Source organism: Homo sapiens, chromosome 13, assembly GCF_000001405.40.
Source record: "Homo sapiens chromosome 13, GRCh38.p14 Primary Assembly".
Taxonomy (NCBI): domain Eukaryota; kingdom Metazoa; phylum Chordata; class Mammalia; order Primates; family Hominidae; genus Homo; species Homo sapiens.
This window is the reverse complement of record NC_000013.11, coordinates 98,628,192-98,645,905: the sequence shown is the minus strand read 5'-3', so window position 1 is coordinate 98,645,905 and position 17,714 is coordinate 98,628,192. Positions and strand designations below refer to the sequence as shown.

Here is a 17,714-nt window from a genome sequence, read left to right as displayed (position 1 = left end):
TCATAAGAGATATTGGGTAAAGTTTTACATGATTTCTCCTGGCCTTTTTTTTTTTTTTTTTTTTTCTGAGACCAAGTCTTGCTCTGTTGCCCAGGCTGGAGTGCAATGGTGTGATCTCAGCTCATTGCAACCTCTGCCTCCTGGGTTCAAGCAATTCTCCTGCCTCAGCCTCCCGAGTAGCTGGGATTACTGGCATGTTACTACCACACCCGGCTAATTTTTCTGTATTTTTAGTAGAGACAGGATTTCACCATGTTGGCCAGGCTGGTCTCAAACTCCTGACCTCGTGATCCCCCCGCCTTGGCCTCCCAAAATGTTGGGATTACAGGCATGAGCCACCGCACCCAGACTTCTCCTGGCTTTTTAAGGTCATGTATGTTTTTGTTGGATAAGACACTGTGCTGAGATTGGTGGCTCAAGCTAACAAGTTATTATTTGCATTATATTGGGTTTAAGAACCAGGACAAAAGATTGTATGTAAAAGAGAATCACAACTTTGATTTTTAAATGCACAGGAAGAAAATTTGAGGGTAAACCTACCATTTTGTGAGTGTATTTTTTGGGTGTTAAGGTAAGTTTTTTCTTTAAAAATATTATTTTCCAGTTTCCAAAGTTTCTGCAATGAACATCTATTAATTTTATATTCGGACATTTTAAATGCTTATTTAAAAACTACTGCCTACTTGTCAATTCTTATGTAAAACCAATGAATGTAATGTAGGTGAAATGCCTTAAACTATAAAGGAAAAATTGAAAAAGCAAAATTTTTAGTATGTGTTATACTGGTGATTATCCAAGGAAAGGGTATTACTACAAGGCAGTGGATTTAAGTGTAATTGATTCTTCTAATGCTAAGAAGATCAATGGTGTTCTGAAAGAATCTTTTTTGGTATTAAGGTTCTCTGTCATACTGGCTAATATTTAATATTCACTTACTATTTGCAAGACACAGAGTCAAGGGTTTTGCGCATATGATGATGTTTAATTTTCACAACATTCTTGTGAAAGAGGGTCTCTCATTATTCCCTTTTTCAGACAGAAATGGAGGCTTCCATTTCTGATTAAGTAATTAGCCCAAGATGCACAGTTAGTGATCTAAGAAAGAAAAACCTCCTGAAAGAAAGACAACCGGAACGTCCTACTAAAAGATCACGCTACCTGTCATACCTAGGGAAACTGACCCAGAACAGCCAGCACCAAGTCATATTTTAGCAAAACAATTGGACAATAGAGGAAGAAAAGGGATTTTTTTTTTTTTAAGACAGGGTCTTGCTCTGTCCTCCAGGCTTGAGTGCAGTGGTGTGATCTCAGCTCACTGCAACCTCCACCCCCTAGAGTTCAAGTGAGTCTCGTTTCTCAACCTCCCAAGTAGCTAGGATTACAGGCATGCACCACCACACCCGGCTAATCTTTGTATTTTTATTAGAGATGGGATTTCACCATATTGGCCAGGCTGGTCTCGAACTCCTGACCTCAGGTGATCTGCCACCTCGGCCTCCCAAAGTGCTAGGATTACAGGCATGAGCCACTGCATGCAGCCAAAAAAAAAGGGGATATTGAAGCAAAAAAAAAAAAAAATCAAGTCGCTTTTTAAAAAAGGGCATCACAGTGTCATCAGACTTGTCGGCTGCCACTGGTTGCCAAGAAACAATAGATTTTCAAACTTGTTTAAAAGAGCGAACTCTACCACTCTGCTATATACAAGAGACACATCTCAAAAAAGATTCAGAAAAATTAATATGTTTTAAAAGTTAAAAGTTAAAAAAAAACTTAAAACTTAAAAAAATTAAAAGTTAAAACTTTCATAAAGCAGAACTTTTAGGACGTGTGAGAAACCAACAAACACACCGATAAGGGTGGACCTGAGCACTCTCAGTAGAAGCCTGATCAAGCAGACAAAAGGAAGAAGGAATACAAAACTAAAAACCTATTTAATACGTAGGCTGAACAGAACTTACTCCAAATCCTAACGTTGGAGAATATACTTTTTCAAGTGCATATGCATGAATAACCACATTTTAGGGCACAAGGATAATATCTCAAGAAATGTCAAGAAATAGAAAGAAAGTACACAGTGGTCTCTGACCACAGAGCAATATAACTAGAAATAATGAAAGCAAAATATTCTTCCACCTGCAAATTTCAAAGTATACTATTAGATAATTCTTGGGTCAAAATGAAATTGAAATGGAAACTTCTTGAAAATATAGATAATGAAAATATGATGTATCAGAATCTGTGTCATACTACTAAAGCAGTGATTAGGGGAACATTTATTGCATTAAGTATATATAAGTACCATTAAGTACCTAGGGGATATGGAAATTAATTGATTAAACCTCCTTTCTAGAAAGCTAAAGAAAAAACAAAATAAGCCAAACCAAAGCAGAAGGGAAAAAAAACCACAATAAATATAAAAACGGAAATTAATGAGTTGGAAAATAAACAGAACTAATAAATCTAAAAGTTGGTTTCTGAAAATGTAAACTAAACAGTTAAACCACTAGGATAAATATACAAAATTAGAAATAACCATAACACAGAGGAAATAAAAAATTGGGCATTACCATATACAATTCCTTGTAAATAAATTTGAAAACTTAGGTAAAATACATAATTTTTAAGAAAAACACTACTTAAAAAAATTAACCTGTTGAAACAGGCTAACTACCGTTGAAGAAATAGAAGAAGTAGCTAAAGAGCTCTCCTCAAAAATATGCCAAGCCTGGCGGGGCGCAGTGGCTCACACCTGTAATCCCAGCACTTTGGGAGGCCAAGGCGGGCGGATCATGAGGTCAGGAGATCGAGACCATCCTGGCTAACATGGTGAAACCCCACCTCTACTAAAAATATAAAAAATTAGCCGGGCGTGGTGGCGGGCGCCTGTAGTCCCAGCTACTCGGGAGGCTGAGCCGGGAGAATGGCGAGAACCCAGGAGGTGGAGCTTGCAGTGAGCGGAGATCAAGCCACTGCACTCCAGCCTGGGCGACAGAGTGAGACTCTGTCTCAAAAAAATAAATAATTAAGTACGCCAAGCCCAGATTTCACAGGGGAATTCTACCTTCCATCTACTTTATTATTATGATTTTATTGTAACTTTGTATTAGAAAACAAATATACAACTTGGAATGAATTTGAGGCAAATTGTATCATAAGTGGATTTTCTTTAAGTGGCTAAACAAAGTTTAAAAAGCAAGTAACAATTAAAATGTTTCTGGTACAGAACCAGTAGTACAAAAAAAGAGTATAGGCCCAGTGGGGTGGTGGCTCATGCCTGTAATCCCAGCACTTTGGGAGGCCAAGGCGGGCAGATCAGGAGGTCAGGAGTTCAAGACCAGCCTGGCCAGTATGGTGAAACCCCGTCTCTACTGAAAATATAAAAATTAGCCAAGTGTGGTGGCTCAAACCTGTAGTCCCAGCTAGTCGGGAGGCTGAAGCAGGAGAATTGCTTGAACCCAGGAGGCGGAGATTGCAGTGAGCTGAGATCATGCCACTGCACTCCAGCCTAGGCAACAGAACGAGACTCCATTTCAAAAAAAGTATGAGAGTACCTGAATAATATGCCCATTTTGCAATAGTGCTACTTTTAAGTATACATATATATATATATATAGTGGTGTTTGTTTGTTTTTGAGACGGAGTCTCAATCTATTGCCCAGGCTGGAGTGCAATGGCGCTATCTCAACACTGTAACCTCCACCTCCTGGGTTCAAGTGATTCTCCTGCCTCAGCCTCCCGAGTAGCTGGGATTACAGGCGTGTCCCACCACGCCCGGCTAATTTTTGTATTTTTAGTAGAGACAGGGTTTCACCATGTTGACCAGGCTGGTCTCGAACTCCTGACCTCAGTTAAAACGCCTGCCTCGGCTTCCTAAAGTGCTGGAATTATAGGCGTGAGCCACCACGCCCGGCCTCAATTTTCTAAAATAAAGTTTCAGGACAATGACAGTGAGACAGGGGAAGAAAACATGAAGGAATTAAGTCCTAATTACTATGTATGCATTTTTTTTTTTTTTGACAGTAGGGAGAAACCTTTTACAGATAAGTTACAAACAAAGAAAAGGCAAATAAATAATTTTGTAAAAGAAATTTAACACATTTCGAGCAAGGTCTTTGCTATCATCATCTGTACAAACTTTTTTTTTTTTTTTTTTTTTTGAGATGGAATCTCTCTCTGTCGCCCAGGCTGGAGTGCAGTGGCACGATCTCGGCTCACTGCAACCTCCGCCTCCCAGGTTCAAGCGATTCTCGTGCCTCAGTCTCCCAAGTAGCTGGGACTACAGGCACCTGCCACCATGCCTGGCTAATTTTTGTATTTTTAATAGAAATGGGGTTTCGCCATTTTGGCCAGGCTGGTCTCGAGCTCCTGACCTCAGGTGATCCGCCCGCCTCAGCCTCCCAAAGTGCTGGGATTACAGGTATGAGCCACTGCGCCTGGCCAATGTATTATTTTTTAATGCGCTGTTGGATTCTGCTTGCTACAGTTATATTTAAGAGTTTTGCATTGATATTCATAAGTGAAATTGATCTATAGTTTTCTTTTTTTCTATGGTCTGGAATTAAGAGCATTGAAATTATCTGATCTTTAAAGTAGAAGGGAGTCCGAGTGGAGCGAGCGAGCCGAGTGGTCGTGCAGTCGCGTCTCGGAAACCGGTAGCGCTTTCAGCATGGCTGACCAACTGACTGGAGAGCAGATTGTAGAATTCAAATAAGCTTATTTACTATTTGACAAAGACGGTGATGGAACTATAACAACAAAGGAACTGGGAACAGAAATGAGGTCTCTTAGGCGGCATCCCACAGAAGCAGAGTTACAGGACATGATTTATGAAGTAGATGCTGATAGTAATGGCAGAGTTGGCTTCCCTGAATTTGTGACAATGAGGGCAAGAAAAATGAAAGACGCAGGCAGTGAAGAAGAAATGAGAGAAGCATTCCGTGTGTTTGATAAGGATGGCAATGGTTATATTAGTGCAGCAGAACTTCACCATGCGATGACAAACCTTGGAGAGAAGTTAACAGATGAAGAGGTTGACGAAATGATCAGGGAAGCAGATATTGATGGTGACGGTCAAGTAAACTGTGAAGAGTTTGCACAGGCTGGGCACGGTGGCTCACGCCTGTAATCCCAGCACTTTGGGATGCCAAGGTGGGCAGATCATTTGAGGTCAGGAGTTCGAGACCAGTCTGGCTAACATGGTGAAATGCCATCTCTACTAAAAATACAGAAATTATCCGGGCATGGTGGCACATGCCTGTGGTCCCAGCTACTTGGGAGGCTGAGGCAGGGGAATCGCTTGAACCCAGGAGGTGGAGGTTGCAGTGAGCCGAGATTGCACCACTGCACTCCAGCCTGGGTGACAGAGTGATACTCTGTCTCAAATAATAATAATAATAATAATAATGCATTATGTGACTGAATTTTGAGACCAGTTGTGTCTTATTCCACCAATTAACAATCATGATTACTAAATAAAAACATGTTTGTTTTTAAAACTTGTGTAAAATATACACAGAAAAGTACACAAATAATAATAGTAAAATTGGTAAATTTTCACAAATTGAACACACTCATGTAATGGGGCTCATATCAACAGACCAAGTGTTATCAGAAGCTCTCTCATGCCTCCTTTTGCTCTTATACCCCTTAGGGTATCTGCTGTCTTATATTCCTAACCCCATAGAGCAGTTTTGCTTATTTTTGAACTTTATATAAATGGACTCACACAGTATGCATTATTCTGTGTCTAGATTCTTTCACTTGACGTTATGCTTGTATGCTTGTGAGATTCATCCACAGTATTGTATGTAGTTACAGGTTGTTCATTCGTGTTTGTTGTTGTTGTTGTTGTTGTTATTGTTTTGAGATAGTGTCTTGCTCTGTTGCCCAGGCTGGAGTACAGTGGTGTGATCATGGCTCACTGCAACCTCAAACTCCTGAGCTCAAGCAATCCTCCTTCCTCAGCCTCCCAAGTAGCTGGGGCTACAGGCATGTGCCATTGCACTCACCTAATTTTTTTTTTTTTTTTGAGATGGAGTCTTGCTCTGTTGCCCAGGCTGGAGTGCAGTGGCATGATCTCGGCTCACTGAAACCTCTGTCTCCCGGATTCATGCCTCAGCCTCTCTAGTAGCTGGGATTACAGGCGCCCACCACTGCATCTAGCTAACATTTTTTTTTTTAGTAGAAACGGAGTTTAACCATGTTGGCTAGGCTGCTCTCGAACTCTCAACTTCAGGTGATTTGCCCGCCTTGGTCTCCCAAAGTGCTGGGATTACAGGCATGAGCCATTGCGCCTGGCCTAATTTTTTTTTTAACTTATCCAGAGTCGGGGTCTCACTGTGTTAAGCAAGCTAGTTCAAACACCTGGCCTCAAGCCATCCTTCCCCCTTGGCCTCCCAAAGTGCTGGGATTCAAGGTGCACCTGGCCTTTATTCTTAGTGGATATAGTTTTGTATACAGCAATGTGACTATACCATAATTTTTTTGTGTATTCTACTGGTGTGTGTGTGTGTGTGTGTGTGTGTGTGTGTGTGTGTGTGTGTGTGTGTGTTTGGTGTTTTTTTGAGATAGGGTCTTGCTCTGTTGCCCTGGCTTGAGTGCAGTGGTGTGACCACAGCTCACTGTAACCTCACACTGGGCTTATGCAGTCCTCTTGCCTTAGCCTCCTGAGCAGCTGGGACCACAGGAACACGTCGCCATGCCTGGCCAATTCTTTAAATGTTTTTGTAGAGACCAGGGCTCCCTATGTTGCCCAGGCTGGTATCAAACTTCTGGGCTCAAGCAACCCTCCAGCCTCAGCCTCCCAAAGTGCTGGGATTACGAGCATGGGCCACCACACCTGGCCCATTCCACTGTTGATGGAGAGTTAAGTAGCTTCCAATTCGGACTAGTCTCATAGTGCTGCTATGAATATTCTTGTGTATATCTTTTGTCAAACATAGCTGTGCATTTATCTTGAACATCTACTTAAGTATGTAATTGGCAGGTCATGGGATATGTACGGTAGCATTAGGTAGATATCACTAATTTTTCACATTGATTGTACCAATTTATATTCACAACAGCAGGGCGTAAACATTCTGTTTTTTTCATATCCTAACTAATACTCAGTATTTGTCCTTTTCCATTTAGCCATTGTGTTGAGTATGCAATAGTGTCACACTGGAACTTTAATTTGATTTTTATGATGTCTCATAAGATTGAGCATGTTTTTATATGTTTATTAGTTGTTCTTGAAATCGTACTTAAAATTTGCAGGACACTTGAACTTTAAGCCTCACTTCACATTAGTAAACACACTCTTTTTAAAACTGAATGTGGGCCAGGTGCAGTGGCTCACGCCTGTAATCCCAGCACTTTGGGACGCCAAGGCGGGTGGATCACTCGAGGTCCAGAGTGCAAGATTAGCTTGGCCAACATGGCGAAACCCCGTCTCTACTAAAAATACAAAAATTAGCTGGGTGTAGTGGCGGGTGCCTGTAATCCCAGCTACTTGGGAGGATGAGGCAGGAGAATCCCTTGAACCTGGGAAATGGAGATTGCAGTGAACTGAGATCGTACCACTGCACTCCAGCCTGGGAGACAGAGCAAGACTCCATCTCAAGAAAAAAAAATGAGTGTGGATACCTTTTGTATCCTTGAGGTAATATGACCCCCGTAGAGCCCTCACTCACATCATCCAGTGTGAGTGGAGTGCGATTAAAGAATGGAGTTCAATAATTAAAAAATTAATTTCAAAATAACTCAAGTTCTCATATAGCATTTCTCAGACACTATGAAAAGAAATACATAAACTACCATAATACATGGCTAAGTCTCTCCTTCTCACTCATCCAGGCCTCACAAATGTAGCTGCCCTAATATCTTTTTTTTTTTTTCTTTTTTGGGATGGAGTCTTGCTCTGTCTCCAGGCTGGAGTACAGTGGTGCAATCTCGGTTCACTGCAACTTCTGCCTCCTGGGTTCAAATGATTCTCCTCCCTCAGCCTCCCAAGTAGCTGGGACTACAGGCATGCGGCACCACACCCAGCTTATTTTTGTATTTTTATTAGAGATGGTGTTTCACCATGTTGGCCAGGATGGTCTCGATCTCCTGACCTCATGATCTGCCTGCCTCAGCCTCCCAAATGCCTCAGCTGGGATTACAAGCATGAGCCACCGTGCCCGGCCCATCATTTTTCCAAAAAACATAGGAAGGAAAGTTATAAAATAACTTTCAGTGGGAAAGCAATTTTTATCATTACTCAAAATAAAAAATGTAAGGATAATGCATCAATCATTTCTTAATGATACATTATCATTCATTAAGAAATGATTGATAGATTATCTTTAACAGGAACACCGCATGTTCTCACTTGTAAGTGAGAGCTAAATGGTGAGAACACATAGAAAAAAGAAGGGAACAACACACACTGGGTCCTCCTTGAGGGTGGAGGGTGAGAGGAGGGAGACGATCAGAAAAAATAACTATTGGATACTAGACTTAGGGCCTGGGTGATGAAACAATCTACATCAAACCCCATAACACAAGTTTACCTAGGTAACAAACCTGCACGTGTACCCCCAAAGCTAAAATAAAAGTTGAAAAGATTGGCCAGGCGTGGTGTCTCACACCTGTAATCCCAGCACTTTGGGAGGCCGAGGCGGCTGGATCACTTGAGGTCAAGAGTTTGAGACCAGCCTGAACAACATGGTGAAACCTCATCTCTACTAAAAATACAAAAATTAGCCAGTCATGATGGCACGCACCTGTAATCCTGGCTACTCGAGAGGCTGAGGCAGGAGAATTGCTTGAACCCAGGAGGCAGAGGTTGCAGTGAGCTGAGATCACACCACTGCATTCCAGCCTGGGTGACAGAGTGAGACTCCATTTCAACAACAACAAAAAAAAAAAAAAAAAAAAAGAGAAAAGGTTGATAAATGCAACCTTTAAAAGTAAAAACAAAAACTACAAAAGTTTTGGCATCTTCTTTGCCATCATGCTGGAAGTCCTAGCCAGTACAATAAGGCAAGATCTAGAAATAAGCACATACACATTAGGAAGGGATCCAAATGGTTTTCTTGCACAGACAAAATGATTGACTACATAGAAAATCCTAAAGAATCAACAAAAAGCCTCCGAGATATGATAAATGTGCTTAGTAGGTTGCAGAATACGAGGTCAACATGAAAATCAATTGTATTTCTATGTACTAATAGTACAAAGTGTATTGAAGAATTTAAACATATATACACACACATTATTTACAATCGCTCACTCAAAAATAAATGATTAGGTATGAATCTAACAAAATATGTATAGAATCTGAATACTGAAAGCTATAAAACTTGAACACTGAAGAGACAAAAATTAATAAGAGATATACTGTGTTCATAGATTAAGAGATTCAAGCTATTCAGGGGGACCACCTGAGCCTGGGAGGTTGCAGCTGCAGAGCCGTGATTGTGCCACTGCATTCCAGCCTGGGCAACAGAGTGAGCTCCTGTCTCAAAAACATAGATTAGTAAACTCAACATATTAAATATGGCAATTCTCCCAAAATGAATGCACGGATATAAGGCAATCTAAAAAAAAAAAAAAATCCCAGTAGGGATTTTTGTAGATATAGATGAGCTGATTCTAAAGTTTATTTGATAAGGCAAAGGAACTAGAGTAGTCAAAACTATTTTGAAAGAAATAAATATATTCAGAGGGATCATACTACTAAATTTTTAAATTTTTATAAAGCTAAAGTAAGCAAGACAGTGTGGTACGGCAAGGGCTAGGCATATTGATCAGTGCAACAGGAAAGAGAGCCTAAATATTGGACCAGACAAATATGACCAATTTTGAGTAAAATGCAAAGGCAATTCAGTGGAGAAAGCATTATCTTTTTTAATAAATGGTGTTTGAGCAACTGAACATATGCACACATACAAAAATGAGCCCCAAATCTCACAGCTTATGCAAAAATTAACTCAAAATATATCTTAGATCTCAATGTAAAATGAAAGGCTATCTTTCAGATGAAATCATAAAAGAAAGTATTCATGAACTTGAGTTAAGCAAAGAGTTCTCAGGCAGAATGCCAAATGCATAATCAATAAAAGAAAAAAATGATTAGACATCATCAAAATTATATGATTTTGTATCATGTGGATACAAATTTTTATCTACAAAGACCCAAGAGAATGGAAAGATAAACTACACACTGGAACAAAATGTTTTCAAATCATGTATCCCACAAAGGACTTGTGTTTAGAATATACAAAGAACTCTAAACTGAACAGCAAAAAAACACAAGTAGCCCAATTTAAAAATGGGCGAGACTTGAGCAGATATTTCACCAAAGAGAACATAAGGAAATAATCACATGAAAATATGTTCAATATCACAGCCATTTTTAGAGAAATGCAAATTGAAGCCACAATGAGACACTGTTACACATCTATTAAAATGGCTGAAATAAAAATACTGTCACCAGTTGCTGGTGAAGATGAGAAGCAACTGGAATGCTCATACTTTCATGGTGGGAATGCAAAATGAGACAGCCACTCTGGAGAACAACTTGTCACTTCTTATAGAGTCAAACATACAACACAGAAATTCCGCTCCCAGGTATTCACCTCATGTTTATTCAAAAACCTGTACGCAGATGCTTTTTTTTTTTTTTTTTTTTTTTGAGACAGAGTCTTGTTCTGCTGCCCAGGCTGGAGCGCGGTGGCACAATCTCGGCTCACTGCAAACTTCACCTCCTGGGTTCAAGTGATTCTCCTTCCTCAGCCTCTGAGTAGCTGGGATTACAGGTGCACACCACGCCAGGCTAATTTTTTGTGTGTGTTTTTATTAGAGATGGGGTTTCACTACGTTGGCCAGGCTGGTCTCGAACTCCTGACCTCAAGGGATCCGCCTGCCTCGGCCTCCCAAAGTGCCGGGATTACAGGCATGAGCCACTGTGCCCAGCCAACACAGATGCTTATATATCTCTATCCATAATTGCCAAGAACTGGAAACTATCGAACTGTCCTTCAACAGGTAAATGGACAAACAGCTGTGGTACATCCATATAATGGTGTACTACCCAGTAATCAAAAGGAACACGTAATCAATGCGGCAACACATCAGGCCAATCTCAAGACATTATGCTTGCTAAGTGGGCCAAGCCAGTCTCAAAGGCTCCATATTTATAATTCCATTTATAAGATATTCTGGAGAAAACTAGAGTGAATGAGAACATATCGGTGGTCTCTGGAAGGGTGGAGGGAAAGATAATACCGAGAATTTTTTGGGGAAGATGGAACAGTTCTGTCTGCTGATTGCAGTGGTGGTTACACAGTCTATACGTGTGTTCAAATTCCTAGAATTCCACACCAAACAATTCAATTTTACTGTATGTTAGTTTAAAAAAACGAAGTCACTTTTTGCATAGCACAAAGCATTATAAGCAAAGTCAGAAAACAAATGACAAAGTTAAAAAAAGTATTTATGTGATTTATATCACAAGCAAACTACTACTCTCCGAAATATACAAAAATCTTTAAGTGTCAACAAGGCCAGAACACCATCCCGGAAAGAGCAGAACATGAACAGCTATCAAAAAAAAATACAAACAGCTTTAAAATATGAAAAGACGGTTCCCATTACACATAAACAAAATGCATGTTAAAACTACAGTAAAATACCAATGTTTATAAGATTGGTAAAAATTCCCAACTTTGACAATGCAAACTGTTGGCCAGGCACTCTCATTCAGGGAATGGGTATTAGACAATATATAATATTAGACAAATAATGACAGATATTTGGCACTATCAAGTATTTCCTTTGACAAGGCATACTTATTCTATGTGTGCAAAATGAAGTATCTTCAAGGTTATTCCTTGCAGCATTTTCTATAATAGCCAAAGAATTGAAACTAGTCAAATTCCATCACTAGGGAACTAACTAAATAAATCATGGAATACATCCATTCATTGAACTGTTCTGCAGCTATAATAAAGAATGAGATAACTTTCTATGCCCTGATAAAAGACAGGTTCTTATATATATTATTGTTAAATGAAAAAAGGAAAGTGTAGAAGAGTGTATAGTATGCAAAATTCTGTATAAAAGGTAAGGGGTGGCCAGGCGTGGTAGCTCACACCTGTAATCCCAGCACTTTGGGAGGCCAAGGTGGGCACGTGGTTCACCTGAGGTCAGGAGTTTGAGACCAGCCTGGCCAACATGGTGAAATCTCATCTCTACTAAAATACAAAATTAGCCAGGTGTGGTGGTGTGCACCTGTAATCCCAGCTACTTGGGAGACTGAGGCAGGAGAATGGCCTGAACCCGGGAGGCAGGGGTTGCAGTGACCCTAGATGGTGTCACTGCACTCCAGCCTGGGCAACAGAGCGAGACTCTGTCTTAATTAATAAATAAATAAGTAAATAAATAAATAAATAAAAAAGGTAAGGGGTAACAGAATAGATATTGGTACTTGTACCACATGGAGAAGCTCTGAACAAATAAGAAAATAATGGAAGTGATGATCGATGGGAAACAAAAAGATGGGAGATAGTAGAAATAGTTTCCCTCTATATCTTTCTGTGTGTTTAATTTTTGAGCCATTGATACAAATTACTTGTTCTAAAAATTAAATTAATAATTATATTTTCAAATAAGAAGATCCATTTTCAGTGATAGCTCATTCATCAGCTCTGTGGAATGCAATAGAACAGGCAGAAGGGCTCCGTGGGAGAGCTGAGACAGGAAGCCAGAAGAAACACTTCCCTTGCACAAAAGAAGTGAAAATGCAGAAGGAAGTGGCATTGGAGAAATCTAGTGCAAAAGGAGCAGAAAGGGTATGAGAAACGGCATGAGAGAGTGGAAGACATTCGTTGTTTTGGATGTGGACTTGAATTTAGGTCTGCTTCCTGCTGACTACGGAATTTGGGCAAGTCTTTTAAGTTCTCTGAGCCTGTTTTCTCAACTGCAAAATGGCAATAAGAACAAAACCTACCTCACAAGGTGATTGTAAGTGTTAAAGAAAACATGGAAACACCTTGCAGCAGAGAACGGGCCTGTGCGCTGACAATGTTGTATTAAGAAACAGAAAAAGGAGGCCGGGCGCAGTGGCTCACGCCTATAATCCCAGCACTTTGGGAGGCCAAGACAGGCGGATCACGAGGTCAGGAGATCAAGATCATCCTGGCTAACATGGTGAAACCCCGTCTCTACTAAAAATACAAAAAAAAAAAAAAAATTAGCCGGGCGTGGTGGCGGGCGCCTGTAGTCCCAGCTACTCGGGAGGCTGAGGCAGGAGAATGGCATGAACCTGGGAGGTACAGCTTGCAGGGAGCCGAGATCACACCACTGCACTCCAGCCTGGGTGACAGAGTGAGACTCCGTCTCAAAAGAAATAGACAAAGGAGGCTGAACGTGGTGGCTCATGCTGTAATCCCAACACTTTGGGTGGCTGAGGCAGGAGCATCACTTGAGGCCAGGAGTTCAAGACCAGCCTGGGCAACATAGCGAAACCTGGTCTCTACAAAACATATTTTAAAAAATTAGCCAGGCATGGTGGCACAAGCCTGTAGTCTTAGCTACTTGGGAGGCTGAGGCAGGAGGATTGAGGCTGCAGTGAGCTTTGATCCCAACACTGCACTGTATTCCAGCCTGGGCAACAAAATGAGATGCTCTCTCTAAGTTTTAAAAAAAAATTGAAAAAGAAGAAATAGACAAATGAAAAAAGCAAAGCCTCTCAGAGCTTCCTACTGCCTCCTTTCCTGCTGGGCTTCTGTACCACTGAGCCCCAAAGCTTGGACTTGCCTGGGAGGATGGAGAGATGGGAAGCTACTGAGAGACAAAGGCAAAATCCCACTGGGCACACAGGAGGAGGAGGACTGGAAATCCAGTCTTAAAGGATTCTCTTCCGAACAAACTCCAGTTTGCTAATTTGGTCATGAACAGGCCACCTTACTGTGGGGCATTTTAGGAAGTTTGAACGTTATTCTGAGGGCTTTGAGGGTTTTGAGTGGAGGTAGGGGTGGGATGCTGATCAAATTTGCATCCTAGAAAGATCACTGTGAATACAGTGTAGAAAGTGGGTTGGAAGAAGACAAGATGGGGGGCAGGGACCTCATTAGGAGGTGGCTGCAGGAATCTGGGGGGGAGTCGGAGGTGGCCCTAACTCAGGTGAAGGGATGGAGGAGAGACTGGGAGGAGCCTCAGGGGGCTTGGTGAATGCCTGATGGAACGCTGAGGCATGGGAGGAAGAAGAGGCAAGGACGACTCCCAAATTTCAGGTGGAGCAGTCCAGTGGGTGTCATGAGCACCATTCACTGAGACAACAACAACAAAATGGCAAGAAGCGGCTGGGTGCGGTGGCTCACGCCTGTAATCCCAGCACTTTGGGAGGCCGAGGAGGGTGGATCACGAGGTCAGGAGATCAAGACCATCCTAGCAATGGCAAAACCCTGTCTCTACTAAAAATACAAAAAATTAGCCAGGCATGGTGGCAGGTGCCTGCCGTCCCAGCTACTAGGGAGGCTGAGGCAGGAGAATCGCTTGAACCCGGGAGGCAGAGGTTGCAGTGAGCTGAGATCGTGCCACTGCACTCCAGCCTGGGCGACAGAGCGAGACTCCATCTCAAAAAAAAAAAAAAAAAAAAAGAAGCCACAATCGTGGGAAAGATGAAGAGTTCAGCCATGGCCACAGAGCGTCTGAGTGGCTGTCAGACTCGGGGGAAAGTGGGTCATGGGTAGTAGGATGTTATGGTCCGGACTCACACAGAGGTCAGTGAGAGACATCTACCTACAAATAGCAGGCATGTGAGCCTAGCAGCGCATAGAGAACCAGAAAGAGAAGCCTGAGACACAGCCCTCAAGAATGTCACTTAGGGCCAGGCATGGTGGCCCACGTCTGTAATCCCAGCACTTTGGGAGGTCAAGGTGGGTGCATCACTTGAGGTCAGGAGTTCGAGACCAGCCTGGCCAACGTGGCAAAAACCCATCTCTACTAAAAATACAAAAATTAGCCAGGCATGGTGGCATGTGCCTGTAATCCCAGCTACTCGGGAGGCTGAAGTAGGAGGATTAGTAGAACCCAGGAGGCAGAGGTTGCAGTGAGCCGAGATTGCGCCACTGCACTCCAGCGAGACTCTGTCTCAAAAAAAAGAAAAAAAGGCTGGGCACAGTGGTTCATACCTGTAATCCCAGCACTTTGGGAGGCCGAGGTGGGTGGATCACCTGAAGCCAGGAGTTTGAGACCATCCTGGCCAAAATGGTGAAACCCCATCTCTACTAAAAATACAAAAATTAGCCGGGTGTGGTGTCAGGCACCTGTAATCTCAGCTACTTGGGAGGCTGAGGCATGAGAATCACTTGAACCCAGGAGGCGGAGGTTGCAGTGAGCGGAGATTGCGCCACTGCACTCCAGCCTGGGCAACAGAGCAAGACGCTGTCTCAAAAAAAAAAAAAAAAATTATACAATGGAATCCTCTACTTTAGATGTTTAATCTATGAGAAGGGATTTAGAAAATATACTACATCTGAAGAAAAGGTTACAAAGAAACCTGATCTAAAACTTGAAAATGTGGACACGAAGTGAGAGGGACATCTGGCTTCTAAGCAGGAACCTTTGTAATGGGAGCAACAAAAAAGACTATTAAATAGGGGTGGTGTGGAGAACAGTAAGAAGACTTTGTAATCCCAGCACTTTGGGAGGCCGAGGCAAACGGATCACCTGAGGTCAGGAGTTCGAGATCAGCCTGGCCAACATGGTAAAACCCTGTCTTTACTAAAAATACAAAAATTAGCTGGGTGTGGTGACATGTGCCTATAATCCTAGCTACTCAGGAGGCTGAGGCAGGAGAATTGCTTGAACCTGGGAGGCGGAGGTTGCAGTGAACCGAGATCACACATTGCACTCTAGCCTGCGCGACAAGAGAGACTCCATCTCAAAAAAAAAAAAAAAACAAACAAACAAAAAACGGTGCACCCCTTGCCACACCATGGAAAATGGAGGCAAGCACATAACTGGGCCAAATCCCCATGGTCTCTTTGGGCAGAAGACAAGTCAGGCAGCTGGATCCTCTCACACAGAGGCCAGTAAGAACAAAGGCATCACCTGGGGAGAGGAGACACCGATGGGGTCTTAGGAGAATCCCAAGAAGTACATCCCTGGAACAGAAATCATCTTTGCTGACATTGAGAGGTCAGAAAGGGCAGACTTGATAGCTTATCTCAAAAAAGCTGCTAATGGATAATAATTGGCCACTGCCTTGTTTATTACAAAACAGAAATGTCTCATGACTTTTCAAATGTGTTACCATAATTTGATCTCATACACCAGAATTCAGATCATGAATGACAGGATATTTTGGTTGAACAGTCCTGATTTAAATAAGACTGGCTTATAGCTAAATGAATATGATCAGCTTTTTTGAATTTTGATAGTAATTCAAAGTACTATTACCATTTTCCCCTTCTAAAGATATGATTGGACTTCACTAGTAATGTCCAACTTCTCACAGAGATGGCAAATGTTGTCTCAAAACATATTGGAGGTCAGTTTTATATTTACATTTATACAACTGGTTATATGACTATATTTAAATACTGGGGAAATATCTTCACTGTCTCAGAACCAAGTAACACTCACCTGTGGTTTAATTTGTGTTCATTGGCGTATTAAGGGCAAGGGTTGAAGATAAGATAGCAATGTCTACTTTATATTTTTGGTCCTGACTATGCTAATCTAATCAGAATTCCCTGTATCTAAAATGCAGGCTTTTTGGCCAGGTGCAGTGGCTCACACCTGTAATCCCAACACTTCGGGAGGCCAAGGCAGGTAGATCACTTGAGATCAGGAGATCGAGGCCATCCTGGCTAACACGGTGAAACCATGTCTCTACTAAAAATACAAAAACTTAGCCAGGTGTGGTGGCATGCACCTATAGTCCCAGCTACTCGGGAGGCTGGGGCAGGAGAATCTCTTGAACCCGGGAGGCGGAGCTTGCAGTGAGCCAAGATCGTGCCATTGCACTCCAGCCTGGGTGACAGAGAGGGACTCCATCTCAAAAAAAAAAAAAAAAAAAGCAGGCTTTTTACTTACTGAAAGGCATTTTAGTGTGGTTTCTGTGTAATACCAAAAAATATTTAATACTTTTCACATTTTATAGATGATCTATAAGGTCAGGTGCTTTTTTTTTAGATGGTCAAAATCTCGCCTGTCACCCAGACTGGAGTGCAGTGGCGCACTCTCACTCCCACCGATCTCCCTACTCAATCTCCCCAGCGCCTGGCCTGGAGAGAGCAAATTATAATTAGGATTGTCTTGAAACAGCTATTCAAAAACACATAAAACTACAGAACTATTGTGTATGTGTGCTTTGGCAACTCATTAGAAGGATTAAAGTAGAAGAGACATACACGAGTTTATAAATTATCTGTGATCATAAGATTTAAGATAATCAAAATAAAATCAGGCGGGGCATGGTGGCTCACACCTGTAATCTCAGCATTCTGGGAGGCCAAGGCAGAGGGATCGCTTGAGCCCAGGATTTCAAGATCAGCATCGGCAACATAGTGGTACCTCATCTATATAAAAAATAAAAGATAGCCAGGCATGGTGGTGCGTGCCTATAGTCCCAGCTACTTGGAAGGCTGCGGTAGGAGGATCACTTGAGCCCAGGAGTTCAAGGTTGCAGTGAGTCAAGGTTGTGCCACTGCACTCCAGCCTGGGCAACAGTGCAGTGT

General features: G+C 42.0%; 2 pseudogenes; both read left to right on the top strand.

The window, feature by feature from the left end:
• CALM2P4 (calmodulin 2 pseudogene 4) lies at nt 4,599-5,097 on the top strand (annotated as a pseudogene).
• CYCSP35 (CYCS pseudogene 35) lies at nt 15,949-16,421 on the top strand (annotated as a pseudogene).